The 19,436-nt window shown below is 54.3% G+C and overlaps 2 annotated features.

Annotated features, from left to right (window-relative positions):
• Positions 9,982-10,162: a silencer, noted in NCBI's record as "fragment chr10:72678259-72678439 (GRCh37/hg19 assembly coordinates)". NCBI's record gives its function as "represses an EF-1alpha promoter that drives an FKBP-Casp9 reporter gene in an ReSE screen in K562 erythroleukemia cells {active_cell/tissue: K562}" and the evidence as "EXISTENCE:reporter gene assay evidence [ECO:0000049][PMID:32094911]".
• Positions 10,754-10,928: a silencer, noted in NCBI's record as "fragment chr10:72677493-72677667 (GRCh37/hg19 assembly coordinates)". NCBI's record gives its function as "represses an EF-1alpha promoter that drives an FKBP-Casp9 reporter gene in an ReSE screen in phorbol 12-myristate 13-acetate-treated (for megakaryocytic differentiation) K562 erythroleukemia cells {active_cell/tissue: K562(+PMA)}" and the evidence as "EXISTENCE:reporter gene assay evidence [ECO:0000049][PMID:32094911]".

Raw genomic sequence — 19,436 nt, 5'->3', positions numbered from 1 at the left:
TATCTCTGTCCACCCACAACCATGCTTGGGATTTCTTCTTCCCATACACACTTTCCTCAAAGGTCAGCTCATGCAAACGAGTGCCTGTGGCTACTCCTGCCCCACTGTCTAGCAGGTGCGGTGGGACTCTTGAGTCCCCTGGGACTTCATAGGAGGCTTTCCCCAGCTCCATCTCCTGCTCCCCTCCCCAAACACAGCAGCCACAATCAGGGGCAGCCCGCCGACCCTGCGAGCAACTATGACTCAAAACAACATTGCACAAATACAGTAACATTTCCAAAGCCATGGAATCTGGCCGTGTGACTAGCAGCTTAATGGCCTGACAGTGAGCACAGGGCTCCAACACGTGGGAGCGCCTATCAAGGGCTGAACCTCAGCAGTGCATATTTTACCTCAAAAAGAGGCGAGGCAGGCACTTGAGCCCTAGGGTTTAGGATCCACTTGGAGCCTTCTGCAACCAGAGAAGGGAAGGTCGTGCTCTAGGTTCAAGTTCTTTGCAGTCCAACCTCCAAGTCCCCACAGCCACCTCCTCCAGGCAGCCCACCCTCCTCTCTCTAAACCCCCAGTTACCTTTGTCCCCATTAGAGGCTGAGCTGGAGGCTTTGTTAATTCTTAAGGGCCTAGGGATCGAGACTGAGACCGTGCTGCCCCTGAAACTGGCTCAGGGGAGATTCACAGTGAATAATTCAACATGAGATCAAAAGCCACTACCTCCAGTAAGCAATCCTACCTCCCGTTGGAAAAGAAAGCCTTGCTTCTGTGATTTGAGAGAAAGACAGGGAGAGAGAGTCAAGGCAAAGAGATAAAGAGGCTTGGAGGCAGAGTAAGAAATAAATGTGGTGTCATCGCTCACTTACTTGTCCGTATCCCCAAAAGGCGTGTCATCTGTCTTGCTCTGCCCAGCACCCAGAACAGGAAGTGGCCCAGGGGGCCAATGAACATTTGTTAAATGAAAGAAGGAGAAAAATCATAAAGCAGGGAGTTCCATTCTCACCCACTCCCCACCTGCCTAGGCTACCTCAGCACCCACAACGACGGCCGAACCTCTGCCCAGCCAGAGAGTCATGCCAACCAGATACTCCCCCCACTCCTGGTCCTGGCAGCAGAGGGCCCAGCAGGAGCCCAGGAGGCTGGGGCAGCACCATGGCCCAGTCCTCTGGGTGGCTCTACACCACCCATGTGCAGAGAAAACAAAGCATGCACGTGGGCGTGTATGACTTATGGCTTTAATCTCCCTGATAGAAGGCCTTTAAAGATTATTTCAGGGATGAAAAATAATAATCCTGGGTAATGAATCACGGCCTTAAGAAGCTGATAAGCAGCAGGGAAGCTGGCCGGGCCTGAGTTCCTGATTTAATTAAAGTCTTACAGATACTCCCTGAAACAAAATCCGTCGTAGCCATCAAGGTGATAAAAAGACTGCAGGTTCCTTTAAACCAACTCACCTGCCTCATGAATCTTCTTCCTAGTGAAGACAGTGGATGAGGCCACGTCTTCCGGACCGGGCCTGCATCACTGCAGATGGTCTGCTGGGGACCCTGAGGGACAGAAAGTGCCTCATAAAGCCCAAGAGCCAGAGGCGGATGCCAGCCTGGAGGAGGCAGGGACCAAGCTCAGACAGGGAGCCGGACAACACTTGGGTTGCTTGCTAACTGTCTCTGGGACTCAGTTTCCACATCTAGCATCCAGCAGGAGGCGAGGCCAGCTGGTCTCTGGAAGCGTCCCAGAGCCAGACTTCTGGATTCAGAGCCTCATATTTTCCGAGAAGGTGAGGAGAGAGACAGATGATGTCTCCATGTGCTAGAAAGATCTCTCCTCTTCCCCGCTGATTTTCAGTGCCCCAGAATCCAGCTCCTGCCTCCCCATTTCCTTTCCCTGCCCTCCCCAGTCCTGCTCAGGCACGTGACTATCCTGATGAAGGCTCACTGCCAATGCTCCCAGGGACACTGAGCCACCCAGGCAGCCCTCTGGCTACCCTGGTCCAGTTGAGGGGTGGTGAGAGGAGTGCATGAGCCCAGGCAGAGTGCACCACAGAGGCTGAGCCAAGGGCAGGGCCCCCAGAGCAGGCAGGAGCTGTGGGTTCCGTCTGGCTCCACACCAGACTCACAAAGGCCTTGCAGAGACGCCGGATGGCTGGGAACTGGAAGGATGGAAATAGAGCCCAAGAGAACGTGAGGACAGTGGCGGTGGTCTCTGCATCCTCAGAGCCCAGCCAGTCCTGAGAGGGGAGTCAGACGGGTAGACGGGCAGGTGGACAGCATCCAGGGAGCTGACGTGAGCAGAGGCTGGTCCCCGCAGAGCTGTGCCAGCTCCCTCTCTGCCAGTCCTCGGCCTGACAGCCCGGGCTGGCAGGCACCTTGTGCTCAGGGTGGATGTGCGAGTGATTGGCCTCCTCCGATGGGGGCCAGTGGCATAGGGGCTGAGTTGCCAGATAAATTTGAATTTCAGATTAATGATGAATAATTTTTAGTACAATTATATCCCAAGTATTGCATTTATTTGCTAAATCTGGCATCCCTATGAAGAACGTCCCCTATGCCCCATGCCTGGCACAGAGCTGCCCCAGAGAAAGGCCCCACGCGGGCAGTGTGGACGGGCAGTGTGGACAGTGAGTTCTCATTCATGGCCTCGAGGCCCCTGGAGCCTCCAAGTGGACAGGAGCTGGTGGGATGGTAAGGAGCGAAGGCTCCTCCTGAAAACTGTAGGCTGGGATGGGGGTGGTCCTGAGCCCGGTCACCGCGCAGGAAAGTCCCCCTGACCCAGTCCCAGGGCTGAGGGTGGGGCTGCTGGGGGCCGGCTGCCACCCAGCGGCCAGAGTCGGAATGGCAGGTCGTGGCGCCCAGAGAAGATGGAGCACGTCAGCGCCCCCGCCACAAAACGGCCCATTTGGCAGGGTTAGAATTTTTACCCCACTTGAAACAAAAGGAAACTGAGGTTCAAGATCACCCCAAAACCTAAATTAATGTCGAGACCCTAGCTTGGGCACAGCCTAGTCCCCACCTCCAGCCCTCTCTCTCTCCTATTTGCAGTCACCAAGTGGGCCCCCAGGCCTGCCATGTCTTTCATGCCTGTCTTCCGCTCACCAACCTTCGATGGCTCCCTATTGCTGATAGAATGGAGCAACCCTTCCCTGTGCTGATACTCAGAGCCCTCTATGAAACAGCCCACACTTCACTGCCCAGACTTGCTACCTTTCCACCTTTCTAAGTCTCTTGTGCCCCCGCCTCCTGGAACCTCTCCCAGCCCTCATCTCTCTTGAGCTCCAGGCACCTGCCCCTGTGCCTTGTCCCCTTGATCTGCCCTGTGGCTGCTCCCCCTGTCTCCTATAGCCTTGAGCTCCTAAAGTCGAATGTCCTGGGTAGCAGGCCTCAAACATCTCTAAGCCCGTCTAACTTCATAGCTCTAAGTTTCATTATATGCACCAGTGACTCCAAAATGTATCCTTGACTTGGTAGACCCACGTCCTTAATGAGGTCCCTGCCTTCCTTCTGGAAGAAAACTCAGAAAGGGAGAGAGCTCTCCTGTTGTCTGGCGTCCTCCCCAGAGCCCACAATGGTCCCACAGTGGGTCATGCACCCAGCCCAGCCTTGCTGACTCAGGCAGGAGCAGTTGCGTCTTCTCTCTCCCACAGGAGTCCAGGAGGAGTCTGGCTCTGGACCTTCCAAGCCACCCCAGGCACTCGCTTTCAAAGGAGCTCCAAGTTTCTTGGTAGCTTCTAGTTCTCATTTATCAGAAGGAGAACTGAGGGCCTCTCTCCACCATTAAAGTCCTAAGAGGGGATTGGGACTGGAGTTTGTTCCTTGTCTACAGATGGACCTGGAACAAGTTCCTAGGGGAGCCCAGAACCCACAGATTATCTCAGAATATGCCTGTTATCTCATCACACATCGCTTAGCCCAGACTAGCCTAGAACTCACGCTTCAATACAAACCACACACTTAGCCAGCTCAGAGACACACGGTACCCCAGAATACCTGGGTTGGCTTGGAATACCTGCTAGCCCAGAGGTCAGTTCAAAACACACAAGTTAGCCCAGGTTAGTCCATAATGCATAGGTTTACTTGGTATACCCAGGATTGATTAAAACAAATAAATGATTTTTTAAAAATTTTTTAAACCCTCCCTCAAATGAAATCTTCCCCAGACCCAATGCATAAAACAGATGACATGGAGCTGCCTGGGTTGAAGGTGGATGGGGCCCAGGTAGTGGTGTGCTGCTGAATGTTCCACTCCCAGCTTCAGGAGAAAAGCTCTGGGTTGTAGCATCAGCCAATTTCTGTGGTGTAAATACTCCCTCCGCAGCCATTTCAGGTGCCAGCTGAGTCCCTGAGCTCAGAGCTGGGAAGAGATGTGCATAACGAACTCCACAAGCCAGGGAGCCAGCTCCAGCAGCCAGAGTGCCCATCCTGCGTCCTGGGCTCCTCTGGGGATCCATTCCCCAGAACCCCAAGGACCTCCAAGCTTGAGAACACAGGTCAAAGACACAGAGGCCAATCCAAGCCTGGAGCTTTCTGAAAACTGAAGGAACCCAGAAGAATGCTTCCTGACGTCCTTGGCAAGAGTGGGTAAAAGTAGGAAATAAAGTCAATGTGGAGATCGAGCCCCCAAATTTTCCACATGACTTCGACCAAGTTCTTTCTGCCCTCTGGGTCTCAGTCTCCCCATCTGTACAATGAGAGACCTAGGGCCACGAGCTTCAGGAAGCCCCACTCTGGCTGTGAGATCGGCCCCGCCTGCCTTTGTCACCTCCAGCCCTGCCCTGGCCTGGACTGGCACCCATCCCTGACAGAGCCCCGGGTGCTGAGTCACTCTGCCTCAACCCCTCATGTACCTGTTCCCAGCCAGCTGTCATCCGAGGAGTCTACAAAGTTAATTCACATGGGGGCATGTGTCCTCTGACCAGGGGGCTGAGTCCTGATGGTGCAGATGCAGCATCCTGCACAGAGCCTGGCTCCATAAACACGCTATGCCTGAATGACATGGCAGGCGGCTCCTCGCAGCAACCAAGAGCATTGGAAGAGCCCAATCAACACTTTTTTAATACTTAAAAAGAAAAATTGGCCAGCCGTGGTGGCTCACACCTGTAATCCCAGCACTTTGGGAGGCTGAGGCAGGCGGATCACCTGAGGTCAGGAGTTCAAGACCAGCCTAACCAACATGGAGAAACCCTGTCTCTACTAAAAATACAAAATTAGCTGGGCATGGTGGCCCATGCCTGTAATCCCAGCTACTCGGGGGGCTGAGGCTGGAGAATCTCTTGAACCCAGGAGGCAAAGGTTGTGGTGAGCCGAGATCAAGCCATTGCACTCTAGCCTAGGCAACAAGAGCAAAACTCCGTCTCCAAAAAAAAAAAAAAAATTTAGGCCAGGCACAGTGGCTCTCACCTGCAGTCCCAGCTACTCAGAAGGCTGAGGTGGGAGGATTGCTTGAGCCAGGGAGGTTGAGGCTACAGTGAGCTGTGATTGCAGCCCCACACTCCAGCCTGGGCAGCAGAGTGGGACCCAGTCTCTAAAAACCTAAAAAATATATTTTAAATAAATTTTTTTAAAATGTAAATTAAACTTAGATGTAGGTCAAAGTTTCTGTGAGGCGGGCCAAATTAGCTCTGAAGATCTACTGTATGACATGGTGATTATAGTGAATAATAATACATCAGATACTTGAAAATTGCTAAGACAGTAGATGTTAAATGTTCCACCACCAAAACAAAAAAAAAAGATAACTATGTGAGGTGATGGATATGTTCATTAGCTTGACTGCAGTAGTCATTTCACAATGTACACACATATCAAAACATCCCATTGTACGGAATAAATATATACAATTTTATTTTTCAATTATAGCTCAATAAAGAAAAAAATTATTCACGAAATATTTTGAACATTCAAAAAAGAACATTTAGCCACTACCTGGACTGAACTGATGTTAACACTCGGCCAGGCTTCCCCCACTGGGGCATGCCAGTCCCTCCTCTGAGCATGCTGAATGTCCCTCTCCCAGGGCCCATGGGACTGCCACAGGGCAGGTGACCACATTCCCTGTCGCAAGCAGGGCCTTGGGAAGACAGGAGCAGCTTCTCTGTACGTCTGCACTGTCTCCTGTCACAGCCTCATCTGATGGCTCATTTACCCTTATAACTGCCCGGTGAGACAGGTGAAGATTTATTTTCTCTATTGTACAGAAGAAGAAACTGAGGTGCAGAGGATGAGGGATTCATCTGAGAGCACATGGCACACAGGAGGCCGTCAGTACTAGACCCAGTTCTGTCCCTGAAACAAGTGTTCTCTTCCCGATCGGCCCCTTGGCTTCCATCTCAGCTCCCCTCTCCTCTGGGCCTCAGGAGGGGCTGTTATTAACCATGCCATGTCAGTAAGTGGCAATTGGGACTGTCTCAGGCAAACTGGGCCACACCTCGACCCTACCTTCGAAAGTCCACAAGAGCTGATCGAGCTCCAGCATCACCTGAGACACGGGGCAGATGTGAAAGAGAAGACACCGTCCCTGCCCACAAGGTGTATGCAGAAGCCAAGATGCGTTCTTTCACGGCATTGAACGGGCTATATGCACCAGTGCCTCCAAAGCCAGGGAATATCAACCAGGGCTGTGAGCAGAAGGGCTGACTTTCTAGAGGAGGTGGGGTTTGATTGGGGTCTTGAAAAGCAATCCCTGATGAAGGAGAGAAGAGGGTGAGGTCCCTCCTGGCAGAGGGAACCCTACATTCGGAGGCTGAGGCTCAGTGAGCTTTCAGACAGGGTGAGGGATTTTGAGAGGTTAGGAAAGTAGGTAATAAAGACAGAGAAGCACATCACCCATGCATATATCCCAAAATGACTCAAATCCAGAATATGTAAAAAAAAAGAATGAGAAAAAAAAACTCAAATCAAGAACAAAATAGGCAATTCAATTTTTAACTTTGGCAAAAAACTTCAATAGACCATCTACAAAAGATAATACCCAGATGTCCACTTAATATGTGAAAAGTTGTCAACATTATCAATCATTAGGGAAATGCAAATTAAAACCACAATGAAATACCATTATACTCCCACCAAAAAAGCTAAAATTAAAAAGAAATGATAATTCTGAATTTTGGCAAGAGCTTGGAGCTAGCTACCAGAACTCTTGCACTGCTGGCGGGAGTGTTAATTGCTTCAACCACTTGGGAAATGATTTGGCAATATTTGCTGAAGCTAAGCACATGCCTGCATATGATCCAGCAATTCCAGCCATAGGTATTTGCCCAAGAGAAATGAAAGCAAGTGACTGCCAAATGACATGCACAAAAATCTTCCTCAAAGCTTTATTTGTAATAACCCAAAACTGAAAACAACTCTAATGCCCATCTATTGTAGAATAAATAAACAAATCATGGTACATTCATTCAATGAAATACTATGCAGCAATGACAAAGAAGAAATTACGGATACATGCAACCATATGTTTGGATCTCACAGTGGGAATGCTGAAGGAAAGAAGGCAGACAGAAGTGAGCGTGTGCTAAATGGGTCCATGCATATGAAGCTCAAGGTTAGATGAAATTAACCCTGGGGATCCAAGCCTCAATAGTGGTTACCTCTGGGCAGGTTACTGACTGGAAAAGGCACAATCAAACTCCTGGGCTGTTGCAATTGTTCTATATCTTGATCTATGAGCCTTTTACATGGCTGTATACACGTGTGAAAGTCCGTCAAGTGTGTATATATATATGTATGTATTTTGAATGTGAGCAGTTTATACTAAGAAATACCCCCAATAAAGTGGGGTTTTTTTTTTCTATCCCTCCAGGTGGAGGCAGAGACTGGAGTGGAGAGGGTGAGGGAAGCAGCATAACCACTTGGGAGGCTTTTGCAACATGAAGAAGGGAGAGTGAGTAAACCATCGGGAAACAGGTGCCAGGTGTGGGCGGGGCCAGTCATGCTGTGGGAGGCCAGTGGAAGGTGGCAGCAGCATGGGCAGGTGGTGGGGGAGGTGCTGGGAGGAGGAAGAGGAGCTCCACTGGAGCAGGCTGGGCAGGACTCCCCTGGGGCACTGAAGCATTTCAACACGCCCAGGTACCATCTAGAACGGGCTTCTGGGATCCCATTCCAATACTCTGAGCAGCTTCACATGGGGTGAACTCCCCACCACAGAGGAGTTCAACAAGAATAGTCAGCCCCATTTGTTGAGTCCTTCTGAGGCCCATGGTAGACCCTGCACTGCCACAGAGGTCAGAATGGGGAGTGCTCATCAAGCCTATGAAGCAGGCCTTATTCTTTTTTTTTTTTTTGAAATGGAGTCTCGCTCTTTTGCCCGGCTGGAGTGCAGTGGCGCGATCTTGGCTCACTGCAACCTCTACCTCCTGGGTCCAAGCAATTATCCTGTCTCAGCCTCCTGAGTAGCTGGGATTACAGGTGCCTGCCACCACACCTGGCTAATATTTGTATTTTTAGTAGAGACAGGGTTTCACCATGTTAGCCAGGCTGGTCTCGAACTCCTGACCTCAGTCAATCCGCCCACTTCGGCCTCCCAAAGTGCTGGGATTACAGACGTGAGCCACTGCGCCCCACCAGACCTTATTCTTCCTATTTTGCAGATGAGCAAACTGAGGCTCTGAGAGCTGAGTCGTGGTGTTAGGACTCCAGGCTGTCAACTCACCCTATCGGTGACCATGTCACACTAGGGGTGGATGACCACTTGTGAGGAACAACGTGGCAGGGATGCAGGAGGGTGGGGCCCACTGGGCTGGATGGCGCTGGGAGAATGGGCTCGGGAATCTGTAACCTCTCAGGGCTCCCAGGAGTCCTGGTGCTCCTCCAGGTCTCCTGGGAACAGGCAGGTTGGATAACTGTGGCAATAACTCCGCACCTGGATGTGGGACAGAGGGAGCCCCGCAAGATGTCAGGCACTGTCCTCAGCCGTCACTGTCCCCGCCCCTCAGTCCACATTTTACAGATGGGGCAGTGGAAGCTCAGAGAGGCCAGCCAGAGAATGGCAAGGGCCCCAGCCTTGCAGACCCAAGCCCAGCTGATCACATTCACCTCCACACCTCCCCCAGGCCCAGAGGGCTGGAGGGGCTTGCCTCCCTGGGGAAGGGCAGGGAGGACCAATTCTGAGAGACCCAGAGTGTGAAAGAGGGAAGAGAGAAAGAAATGGAGAGGCAACAAAACCGAGAAAAGCAGAAACCAGGTAGGGCAGGGCTGGTGAGAGGAGGGATGACAGGGAGCGCCCAGAAAGAGGCCGGGCGGGGGCGGTGAGGCGGGAGGCAGTGGTGAGAGGCGGGAGACAGAGCAGATGTTCACCAGCAGCTGTGAACTCCCAGACAAACACAGCTAACACAGACCTGCGGGGCGCGTCCCTGCCACCGTCAGCTCCCACCCGTCTCTTCCTCCCTTCCCCTCACTGCCTGCTGCCCCTCTGCCCCCCGGAGGCCCAGCAAGCTGATTTTGCCCACCTTGATCCAGGTGCCTAGGGCTGTAAATGGGAGGAGGATCAGCAGAGAGAGGGCCAGGCTCCCCCAGGGAGACCCCTACCCGGACTGTGTGGCCTTGGGCCTCAGTGTTCTCATCTTGGGCAGTGGGCCTCCAAGGACCCCGTCAGCCGTCAGGCTCTGAGCCACAAGGCATTGTCCCCTGCACCCAGCCCCAAGCCTGCAAAGATGCTCCACCCCTTTCACCCAGCCTCCTGGCTCCGGAGGGAAGCATGGCCAACTGTGCGACACTGACCTGGGCCTGGGTCTTCCTCAACAATGGAAGGGGCCAAAGAATGCCTGCAGCCTCTCCGTCACCCAGGCTCCGTTCCTGCAGCCTCTCCGTCACCCAGGCTCCGTTCCTGCAGCCTCTCCGTCACCCAGGCTCCATTCCTGCAGCCCCTCCGTCGCCCGGGCTCCGTTCCTGCAGCCCCTCCGTCGCCCGGGCTCCGTTCCTGCAGCCCCTCCGTCGCCCGGGCTCCGTTCCTGCAGCCCCTCCGTCGCCCGGGCTCCGTTCCTGCAGCCCCTCCGTCGCCCGGGCTCCGTTCCTGCAGCCCCTCCGTCGCCCGGGCTCCGTTCCTGCAGCCCCTCCGTCGCCCGGGCTCCGTTCCTGCAGCCTCTCCGTCGCCCGGGCTCCGTTCCTGCTGCTTCTCTGTCGCCCGGGCTCCGTTCCTGCTGCCTCTCCATTACCCAGGCTGCGTACCTACAGCCTCTCTGTCACCCAGGCTCCATTCCTCCGGGTCAGACATCTCCTTGGGGCTCTGGGGAAGGGGACCTTACAACTGACTGGAGAGGTAGCATCAGGGGCAGATACCAGGGGAGATCCAGCAACATCATCCTCACCTCTCCTAGCACTAGTTCAGCTCAAACCAAGCTCTGTATTTAAGGGCTGAGTGACCTGAGGCAGGTCATTCAACGTCTGAGTTGCTCATCTCTAAGGGGTGGGTGGGGGACGAGGTTACTGTTTTGTAGAGCTGGTGTGAGGATCGGCTGACCCTGTAGGGGTGAGAATCCTGCCCAGCCCAGTGCCCAGCCTTCCCTGGCATAAGAACATCTCCCCATGAAAGAGGAAAGGTGACTAGCAGGCTAGAAGGGAGCTTGGATAGTGCTGACTCCATCCCCTTACCCACAACCAGAAAGAGCAGCCCGGAGACAGCAGCCGGGAGGCAGAGCAGCAGAGTCAGGGCTAGGACGGGACAGTTACCCCAGGTCTCTGTCTCCCAGGCCAGCACTCCCTGGTTTGGGAGGGAGTGGGGCACACAGCGGTCACCTACAGTCACTCCTGCCTATTTTGCAGACGCAGCAAATGCCTGCTCTATGGTGGCATCTGGAGATGCCAGGCAAGAGTGGGCACGGTAAAGTACACCATGGGCCTCCGGAACTTCGGCTCTGTTGTTGAGGACAAAAGAGCAGCCTTCCCAGAGCACTGGGCAGGGCACTCGCAGGAGTGGGAACAGCTGGGGTGGGCCCCGGACTGGTGGGGCCAGAGAGAGGGGGCGGGGCAGACTGAGAACCACGGCTCCCAAGACCCTCTGCCTGCTGTCCACTGAGGCCCTCTCTCCCTGGCAGAGGCACTGGGCTATGATTAAGCCATCACTGCCACTGTGATGGCACTTCTGATAGAATCCAAGAGGGATGGAGGAACAAAGTTCACGGGAATCACAGGTCCTTAAATCAGGCTGCCTCCACAGTCAGCGGCCTCCATGGGTCTTTAATGCTAGCCAGCCAGGTGCCCTGTGGATGCTCCTCAGGCTGAGGAGGGGGGCACTGTTTACAGCCCCTGCTTAATTAAATCAATAAACCACCAATGCAAATCTGTCAGAGGGCCAGCTCTTTACAATGCACCATGCGGAGGGGAGGCTGGATTAACAGCTGCTGCAAGAGGACAAGAGGAGGGGAGACGGAGAGACTGAGGAGGAAGAGGAGGGAGAGGAGGAGGGCCAATCTGGGAGCGGGGCTCAGAAGAAGTTGAGTGTCCAGGCCCCCAGACTCCCTCTCTGGACTACATCACAACCCATCCCTGCAACACCTAGAAGCGTACCATTTCCTCTTTCAGGGGCTCCTTTCCCCCTCCTGCCAACATGGCTGCAGGAAAGGCTCTGCTATCAGTCATTTACACTACAGTGAGAACTTGAGGCTAGGTGAGACTGCAGAGATTCAGTGCCATGCTGGCCCAGGGAAGGCTACTGGAGCATCCAGCCAGGTCTCCTTTCCAGTGTTTTCGGGCCTGAGCAGGATGGAGCTCCAGCAAGGACCCAGATACACGGCCACAGCTCTCCCTCTGTTCTGCATTCTGGGAAGACTGGGGGAGAACTGGTTGTCAGGAAGCCTGTCCATTAAGGGAAGCTGTGTGGTCTGGGACCAGCCCCTGACCTTCTCTGGGACTCATTTTCTCCGTCTGGATCACCAGGGGCTCAGAATCTGCAACCTGTAAGTGACTTTCTAGCTCAGACACTCTCTGCATTGGGCTCCCCTAAGGGGAGAAGCATCTCCTTGATAAGCCTGGGGCCCAACCTGAGCCAGGGTCATGGCCAGCCCATGTTTGGGGCCAGAGTCACTACAGCCACTGGCAACCTGCTGGATGGGACCTGGGGTCCAGCCATGAACCCCTTGCTCCCTCCATGTTCCCATCTGTAAAATGGGAATAATGAAAGGCATGGATACCCCACATGGGAGTAAAGTGCACTAATGAATGCTCTCAGAGCCTCGGATGAAAAAAGGAGGAGCCTCTGCAGGGCCGGGGGCATGGGGAGGCAGCATCGGGACCCCTGCTCCACCTGGACTGCCAGACACCCTTCAGGCATGGAAGCTACACTTTGACCGCCAGTCTCTCATAGAGCCTTCCCAGTACTCCCTCTGGGGCCGTGAGAAAATGCCTTCCCCTTCCGAGCCCCAGGTCCCTTCCCTGTAAATGGCTCTGAAACTCTATGACTCAGTTTCCCCATGGAAAGTGACAGCATCTTATGCTCTGCCCCTCCATCTGACTCAGGTCTACGGAGCCTTATGTGTGCCCAGCGTGATGAGGGGCACAGAGGAAGCATGAGGCTGGGCGCCTGCCGTCAGGGGACTACGTATCCCCTGAGCAGACAGGGGGTAAAGAGATGAGAGAAGTTTTGCGTGCACAAAGGGTATGAACAATGGCCACATGGCCCAGAAGCCTCAGCAAGGAAAGTAAACATAAGCCACCCCAGCCTCCCTCTCCCTGACCCGGATAGACATCGCCCATCCATGCTACTCTTTCCGGCTGAGCCTGAATGCGGCCTCTGTCAGGTGCTCCAGGCAGCAACCAGCCTGATCACCAAAGTTAGCAAGCAAAAGCTGCTCACCTGCTCTCAGAGGTCTAAGGGTTATGCTAGGACAACCACAGGAGGCTTCCTGGAGGGAGAAGTCTTCACCTAGGCCTTGAAAGAAGAATCCAGATAGAGGGGAAAGAAGAATGTGTTCCAGGTGGCAGGAGCAGTGTGCATACATCTGGGGGATAAATTGGCACAGCACACTCAGGGACAGTGGGATCTGCTGAGATCCCACTGAGAGATGGTCAAGAGAGTAGGAGGCAGAGTGGGAGGTCGGGGGGTACCAAAACTCAGATGCCAGTTCCACTGGGGCGGTAGGTGCCTCTCCCCAATCCAGTTGATGGGACCTGTCAGCCTTCACCTTCTGCACCCACTCACCAGGCTGGGGAGGTCCTGGAGGGGTCTGGGGGTGAGTGAGGTGGTGCTGGCCATGGCTGTCCACCTCCTATGTGACAAGGAAATCGGCAACTTTGTTAAAATGACATGTTGCCGTCCGTTCTCAGAGTTGCAGGGTGGGTGCCCAGGATGCACAAACCATGTCCACTAGCCCAGCTCCCTGGGTGATTTACGGTGGTGGCCAGCCCAGTCTAGCCACTGACCCAGGGGCAGCCCACAGGGAGAGGTGTCCTCCAGTACTCACACCAGAGACCAAATGCAGAGCAGCCAGCTTAGACGCCAGCCCTTGCCAGGGGTTTCTGGAGCCTTAGGGTGCAGGAGATAGACAGGCCAAGGGCAGGTGGACCACCCAGCCCCTCTCCCTTCCCAACTGACTTCTGGGCAGAAGTTGGGGCCCCTCTCTGTAAGACCTGCAAATTACACCCACCCCTCCCATCTCTCCCCACTCACACTTTCCTTCAGAACCTATCTTAGCTTTCACTTCTGTCAGGGAGCCCACCAGGATTTACCCCTAAGACTCAACCAACTGCGAAAAGTGGCAGGAGACTTGTTCGTAATTCAGACCCAATGCTCATATGATGTGGGACTCGGGCAAGCCACCCCTCTACCCAGGCCTTGGTCTCCCCACCTGTCACTGAGGGAGTCAGACAAGCGGGTGTCTAAAGAACGTTTCCACTATTTCCGGATGGAAGAGTCTGGTTGCCTGGCTGGTCTAGGGCCACTGGGTCATCTAGAATCCATCACCCGGTCCTGTGGCAATCAGTGCGTGGCCCGGGTGCTGACCAGCAACCTGAGGCGGGTGAAAGGCCCAGAACCTCAGACACCACTGCCAGAGGAGCCTTCAATGACCATCACTCTCCCAAACCTCATCTTTCCCAGGTAGGCAATGGAGGCCCAGAGAGGGTGAGGACTTGTCCAAGGCCACACAGCAGCCACCCACAGCTGGGACTCACACCTTAGTCAGTGCTTGCTTGGTGATGTGGCTCACGGGTGCAAAGGCTCTTCTTGCTGTTCTATCTCTACCCCTCACTGGGAGCCCCCTCTGGAGGGACTTCACTGTGTCCTGATTGGGAAGGACACAGAAGAAACAGAAGAAATGGTCCCCGCCTGCCAAGAGCCTGCTGTAGAGGTGGGAGGAGGGATTCTGGTGGCAACGGGAGCCAGAGAGAGCAGCCCTCCCCGCTAACTTCCCACCCCACTGCCTGCCATTGCCCCAGAGAGAAGTGATGCTTTAGGTTAAAATTGCCCCTTTAGGGGAAACTACAAAGTTATTTCCTGGCATTTCAGTATAAATGAATCTATCAAAAGTCCTTTTCTGAGACTGAAGGGGCTTGAAGTCAACTAAGGGACCCAAAGAGAAATGACCCTGCTTCCTCTGGGGGAGCAAAGTTCTCCCCACAGGCAGCGCTGTGGTCTCATGCTGGCTTACAGCTTATACCTGCATGCACACACACACCCCACAGCCAAGGCCAGAGTGGCAGCACCAACCTAGTGAAGACCTTCCCACTCTCACAGCAGGCTTTCTTAGGGGATGCGGGAGCCACCTGGCCCTAGAGGCACTCAAGCTAAGGCAGTGGAATGAGGCAGAGTGGACTTGTCCACCCCAGAGAGACTAAAAAACTTGACCATTCGCCCTCCTCCTCCTCCATTCACCTCAAGCCCTGCTGGCCTGAAATACAAGTCCACAGATGTCCCTTCCCTGCCCTGCTTTCAGCCCCTCCACTGGGGCACTGGCATTTGGAGGTGTTCTCTGAACGGCTCATCACCAAGCTCCAGGATTTCCAGAGCCCCCATGGATCAGGCCACAGCCAACTCTGCTGCTGGCCCTGGGCTGCAGGACTCCAGGGAAGCACTCACAGGGGTCACGAGTGGACATGGCCTTTGACCAGGAAAAAGACAGCCTGAAAGGTCCTCACCCAAAAGGAAGTCCCCCCACCTGCCCTGTGGAGAGGTGCTCAGGCAGCGCACAGGGGACCTGGCCTGCAAACTGTACCCCCAGAATCTCCCTCTCTCTCTCTCCCTCTCTCTCTCTCTCTGTCTCCCTCTCTCTCTCCATTTCCTGAGCTTGCACACTTCCTCTCCTGGCTCTCTGCCTCTCTAACTGTCTGGATTTCTCTCCATCTTTTTGTTTATTTGATTCATTCTCTGCCAGTCGCTTGGTGTCTCTCCCTCCGGGTCTGTCTGTATCTCTGACCTCCTCTCTTTCCGCCTCTACTCCTCTTTCTCTCTCTCTGTCTCTTCTTTCCCTCATTCACCCCCACCCCCACTCCACCACCTCCCATCTCCTCTCTCTCTCCCCACAACTCCCAGCCCTGCAGAGTTTCTCACTCTGGAAGCCAGTGCTGAATCGGTATTTCTGAGCTCCACTGCGAGCTGACAGGAATTCACTGTCTCCCCAGCAGACCCCTCCCAGAAAGCCTCCTCCACTATTTCCCCACAGTTCCACTTCTGGATTTGAAACATCTCCTGGGTGCTCAGCCCTGAGCCAGACCCTAAGGCAGGGAGGGAAGGGGAGGCAGCTTAGATGGTTGGGAAGAGCCGCTGGGCCAGGTACCATCCCGAGCACTTTCCATACATTAGCCGGGTCTTCCTCACATATCCAAGATGGGTTTCAACTTCCCCATTTTACATGCAAAGAAACTGATTCACAAAGATGTGAGGAGGCCACCCCAGCCACACTGCGGCTCAAACCCAGGTCTGTCTAACTCAAAAGCCCATGCACTTTCTTACCTCCACCTCATGGGCTGAGAAAGCCAGCCACCTGGGCCAGGTGCAGCCAGGATTCAAACCTCCAGCCCTCAAGGTGCATTCAGGCTGGTTCTGAGGCAGGAGATGCTCGTGAAGCAAAGACCACGGTGGGGACTATGCTACACTAAGGGCCAAGCAAGAAGCCCAGGCCCAGGGCAGGCTATTTAGGCTGGGGTCATGGAAACCTTCGAAGAGATATGGTTTGGCTGTGTCCCCACCCAAATCTCATCTTGAATTGTAGCTCCCATAATCCCCATGTGTGGTGGGAGGGACCCGGTGGGAGGTAATTAAATCATGGGGGCAGTTTCCCCCATGCTATTCTCGTGATAGCGAGTGAGTTCTCACGAGATCTGATGGTTTTATAAGGGGCTTCCTCCTTCACTCAGCTCTCATTCTGCTTGCTGTCGCCATGTGAAGAAGGGCATGTTTGCTTCCTTTTCCGTCATGATTGTAAGTTTCCTGAGGCCTCCCCAGCCATGCTGAACTGTGAGTCAATTAAACCTCTTTCCTTTATAAATTACCCCGTCTCAGGTATGTGTTTATTAACAGCGTGACAACAGACTAATACATGGGTCAAGAGGAGAAGGTCCCCCAGGAGGGCAAGGGAGTGAGTGAAAGCCTGAGGTGGGCCTAGGAGAACCAGGAGAGGCAGTTGAGCCAGGCTGAGGAGGCCCCAGCAATGTCAGTGGAGGGGTTTGGTCTGCAGGCTGGGGAGGCAGATGCTGAGACCCATTGCCCTCCCCTCAGAGGTCTGGGCTGCATATGGATGGCCCTTGGAGGCAGTGACCTCTGATTTGATTTGAGGTCACAGGAAATCACCCAGCCAGGTGAGAAGAGACCAGGAAGGACCATCATACAACCATGGTCCTGACTAGCTTGCTTCAGACCTACTGTGTGACTTCAGACAAGTTACTTACCCTCTCTGTACCTCTCTGTAGATTTAAGTGGTGGAGCCTGATAGAGTCTGAAGGCCCTCCTGCCCTGACATCCTTTCAATCCCACAAAGGGCCAGGAGGCTCTGGGAGAAGATGATCCAGATAAACCGAGATGGAGCTTTGGCCAGCAGGGATCTCAGGCAGGGGCCTAGACGAGCACACATTTGCCAACGGGGAGACCAAGGGCTGTGAGTGAAGCTGAGTCAGGCCCAAGGCTGTGTGGGAACTGAAGCCTTCCAAGCACTGCCCCCAAAAGCTCCTTCAAAGGCTGGACTTGGGGGTGCTGCCATGGGGGGGGTTCCACCTGTCTCCAGGCAGCATCTCCTGCCAGACATACCTGCCAGGGCTATGGGTGGTGCTGGGGCCCCTTGGCTCTCGGCAGGACTGTTCCTTCCTCAGGCTTAGTCATCTGGGGGTCCTCCAAGAAATATCTCTGAAGGATAAAGGGGGTACAGAGCAGGAATAGGCAGGAGAGCCTTCGGACCCTGGCATCCAGCTGTCACAGCTGCAAGGATGGGGGCAGAAAGGGAATTGGAAGAGCCTCAGCCAGCACCGCTCTAGGGATGCCTCAGCCAGGTGAGGCAGAGACCCAGGCAAAGACTCCCCCCGGAGGAGTCCCACATCTGCAAATGACCTCGCTGGCTCAGCCTCCAGCAGGGGCAGTCCGGGGAGAGGAAGTGTTGGGAGTGAGTACCACAGCGGCGCCTGCAGGTGCGGCAGCTGGGATGGTCAGTCACGTCCCTTGGGGTAGCTTCTCCTGAAGGGAGGCCTGAGAGGTGTCCTTCTGCGGCAGCCACTCTGACCTCTTGGGGCCAGAGTCCTTCCAGGTTGAACAGGTCTACCCCACATGCTGTGGGAGCACACCCAGGAATGTGAGCCTCCTCCAACACACTTAGCCCCGCTGAGGCAGCCCTGGCACAGCTCAGCAGCCTCATCTCCTCTCCAGGGACAGGCCCCAAGGCAGTGTTGCTGAAGGGCTGGGTGGCCTGGCCTTGAAGAGGACATGGGGTTCCCGGACCTGCCCCTAGCCTCAGGCACACCATCCTGCAGACCCCAGAAGGAGCCCCGAGACTCACCGCAGTGGACCGCAAGCAGTAGCCCACTCAGGGTCTCTGGTCAGCCCAGATCTCCCCAGCCTCAGCCTCCTGCGCCACATCTGCTGATGGCTCCCTCCTTAGGGAGTGGCACTGTCTGGATGTTGGGTCCCTCTAAATCTCACTGGAAATTTGATTCCCAGTGTGGGAAGTGGGGTCTGGTGGGAAGTGCTTGGATCATGGAGGCAGACCCCTCATGAATGGCTTAGTGCCATCCCCTTGGTGATGAGCGAGCTCTTGCTCAGTGAGTTCACCTGAGCCTGGTTGTTTAAGAGTCTGGGACCTCCCCTCTCTCTCGCTCCTGCTCTCACCCTATGATGCGCCTACTCCCCCTTTGCCTGCCATCATGACTGGAAGCTTCCTGAGGCCTCACCAGGAGCAGATGCCTGCACCATGCATCCTGTACAGCCTGCAGAACCGTGAGCCAATTAAACCTCTTTTCTTTATAAATTATCTAGTCTCAGGCATTTCTTTATAGAAAACAAAACGGCCTAACACAGGTAACACCCACCTGAGGTGAGGGGTAGCAGCAGGAGCACAGAGTCCCCCTGTCCCCACCCAGCTCTGGATGTTCTCCGCCCATAAGTCATCAAAGAGGGAGTGGGGGTGGAGGGATTGAGACTGTCTGGAGGTGGGTGGACAGAGGTGTTTAGCTGAACAACGGCCGCAGACATTCAGCTGTTCCTGACATAGCCCTCACCCATCAGCAAGAACATCTGCTGAGGTGGCTGGAGCCATCCCAGAATGGAAGGGATGGAAGGAGGCGAGAACCTGTGACTGAGGCCTTCAGTGTACACTGGGGGCATGTTGTCCTGGAAGCCAGCGGCCAACTCCACGTGTGCTCAGGACCCTTGGGTGGTTCCCAAGCTGCCGTCCATGCCTCATTTCACTTAACAACATTTGTTAAGTGCCTGGCCTGAGCCAGGGACTGATTGGAGCTCAGGGGATGTGACGGTGAAAGCCCAGATGTGGCCTCGGCCCTGCAGCAGATGCATTCTCAGCAAGGCCCACCTGCCTGTGCCATGGGCTCTCATGGAGGGTACCCAGCAGGGTGGGCCTGGCTGAGAAGCGATGGGGTAGTGGAGGGGGATGGGAGCCTAGAGGCTGGGACTGTGATCTCAGAAAGACATGGGGGTGCCCTGAGGTAGGTCATTTGAGAGAAACAGGCTAGTCTGAGAGGAGCTTTGGAGGCAGAGTTGGCAGGATGTGATGACCAAATGTTCAGGATGATGGGGTGACATGAGGACAATTCCCAAGTCTCCGGCTTCAGCAACGAGGAACCCTGGCTGTGCACTTAGTGACACTAAGCTACTTAACCCTGCTGTGTCTCAGGCTCCTCACCTCTAAGTCAGTAATACTACCTATTGCACAGGTTGGTTTTGAGGGTTAAATGTGTACGTGTAATGTGGGTGTAATGTGGGTTAAATGTGTATGTGTAAAGGGTTAAATGTGTATGTGTAAATTGATTAGAACAGTATCTAGCACCATGAAAGCCCTCAATAAACATAGGTTATTATTATCATCA

Source organism: Homo sapiens, chromosome 10 (genome assembly GCF_000001405.40).
Source record: "Homo sapiens chromosome 10, GRCh38.p14 Primary Assembly".
NCBI lineage: Eukaryota > Metazoa > Chordata > Mammalia > Primates > Hominidae > Homo > Homo sapiens.
This window is presented reverse-complemented; position numbering and strand designations above follow the sequence as displayed.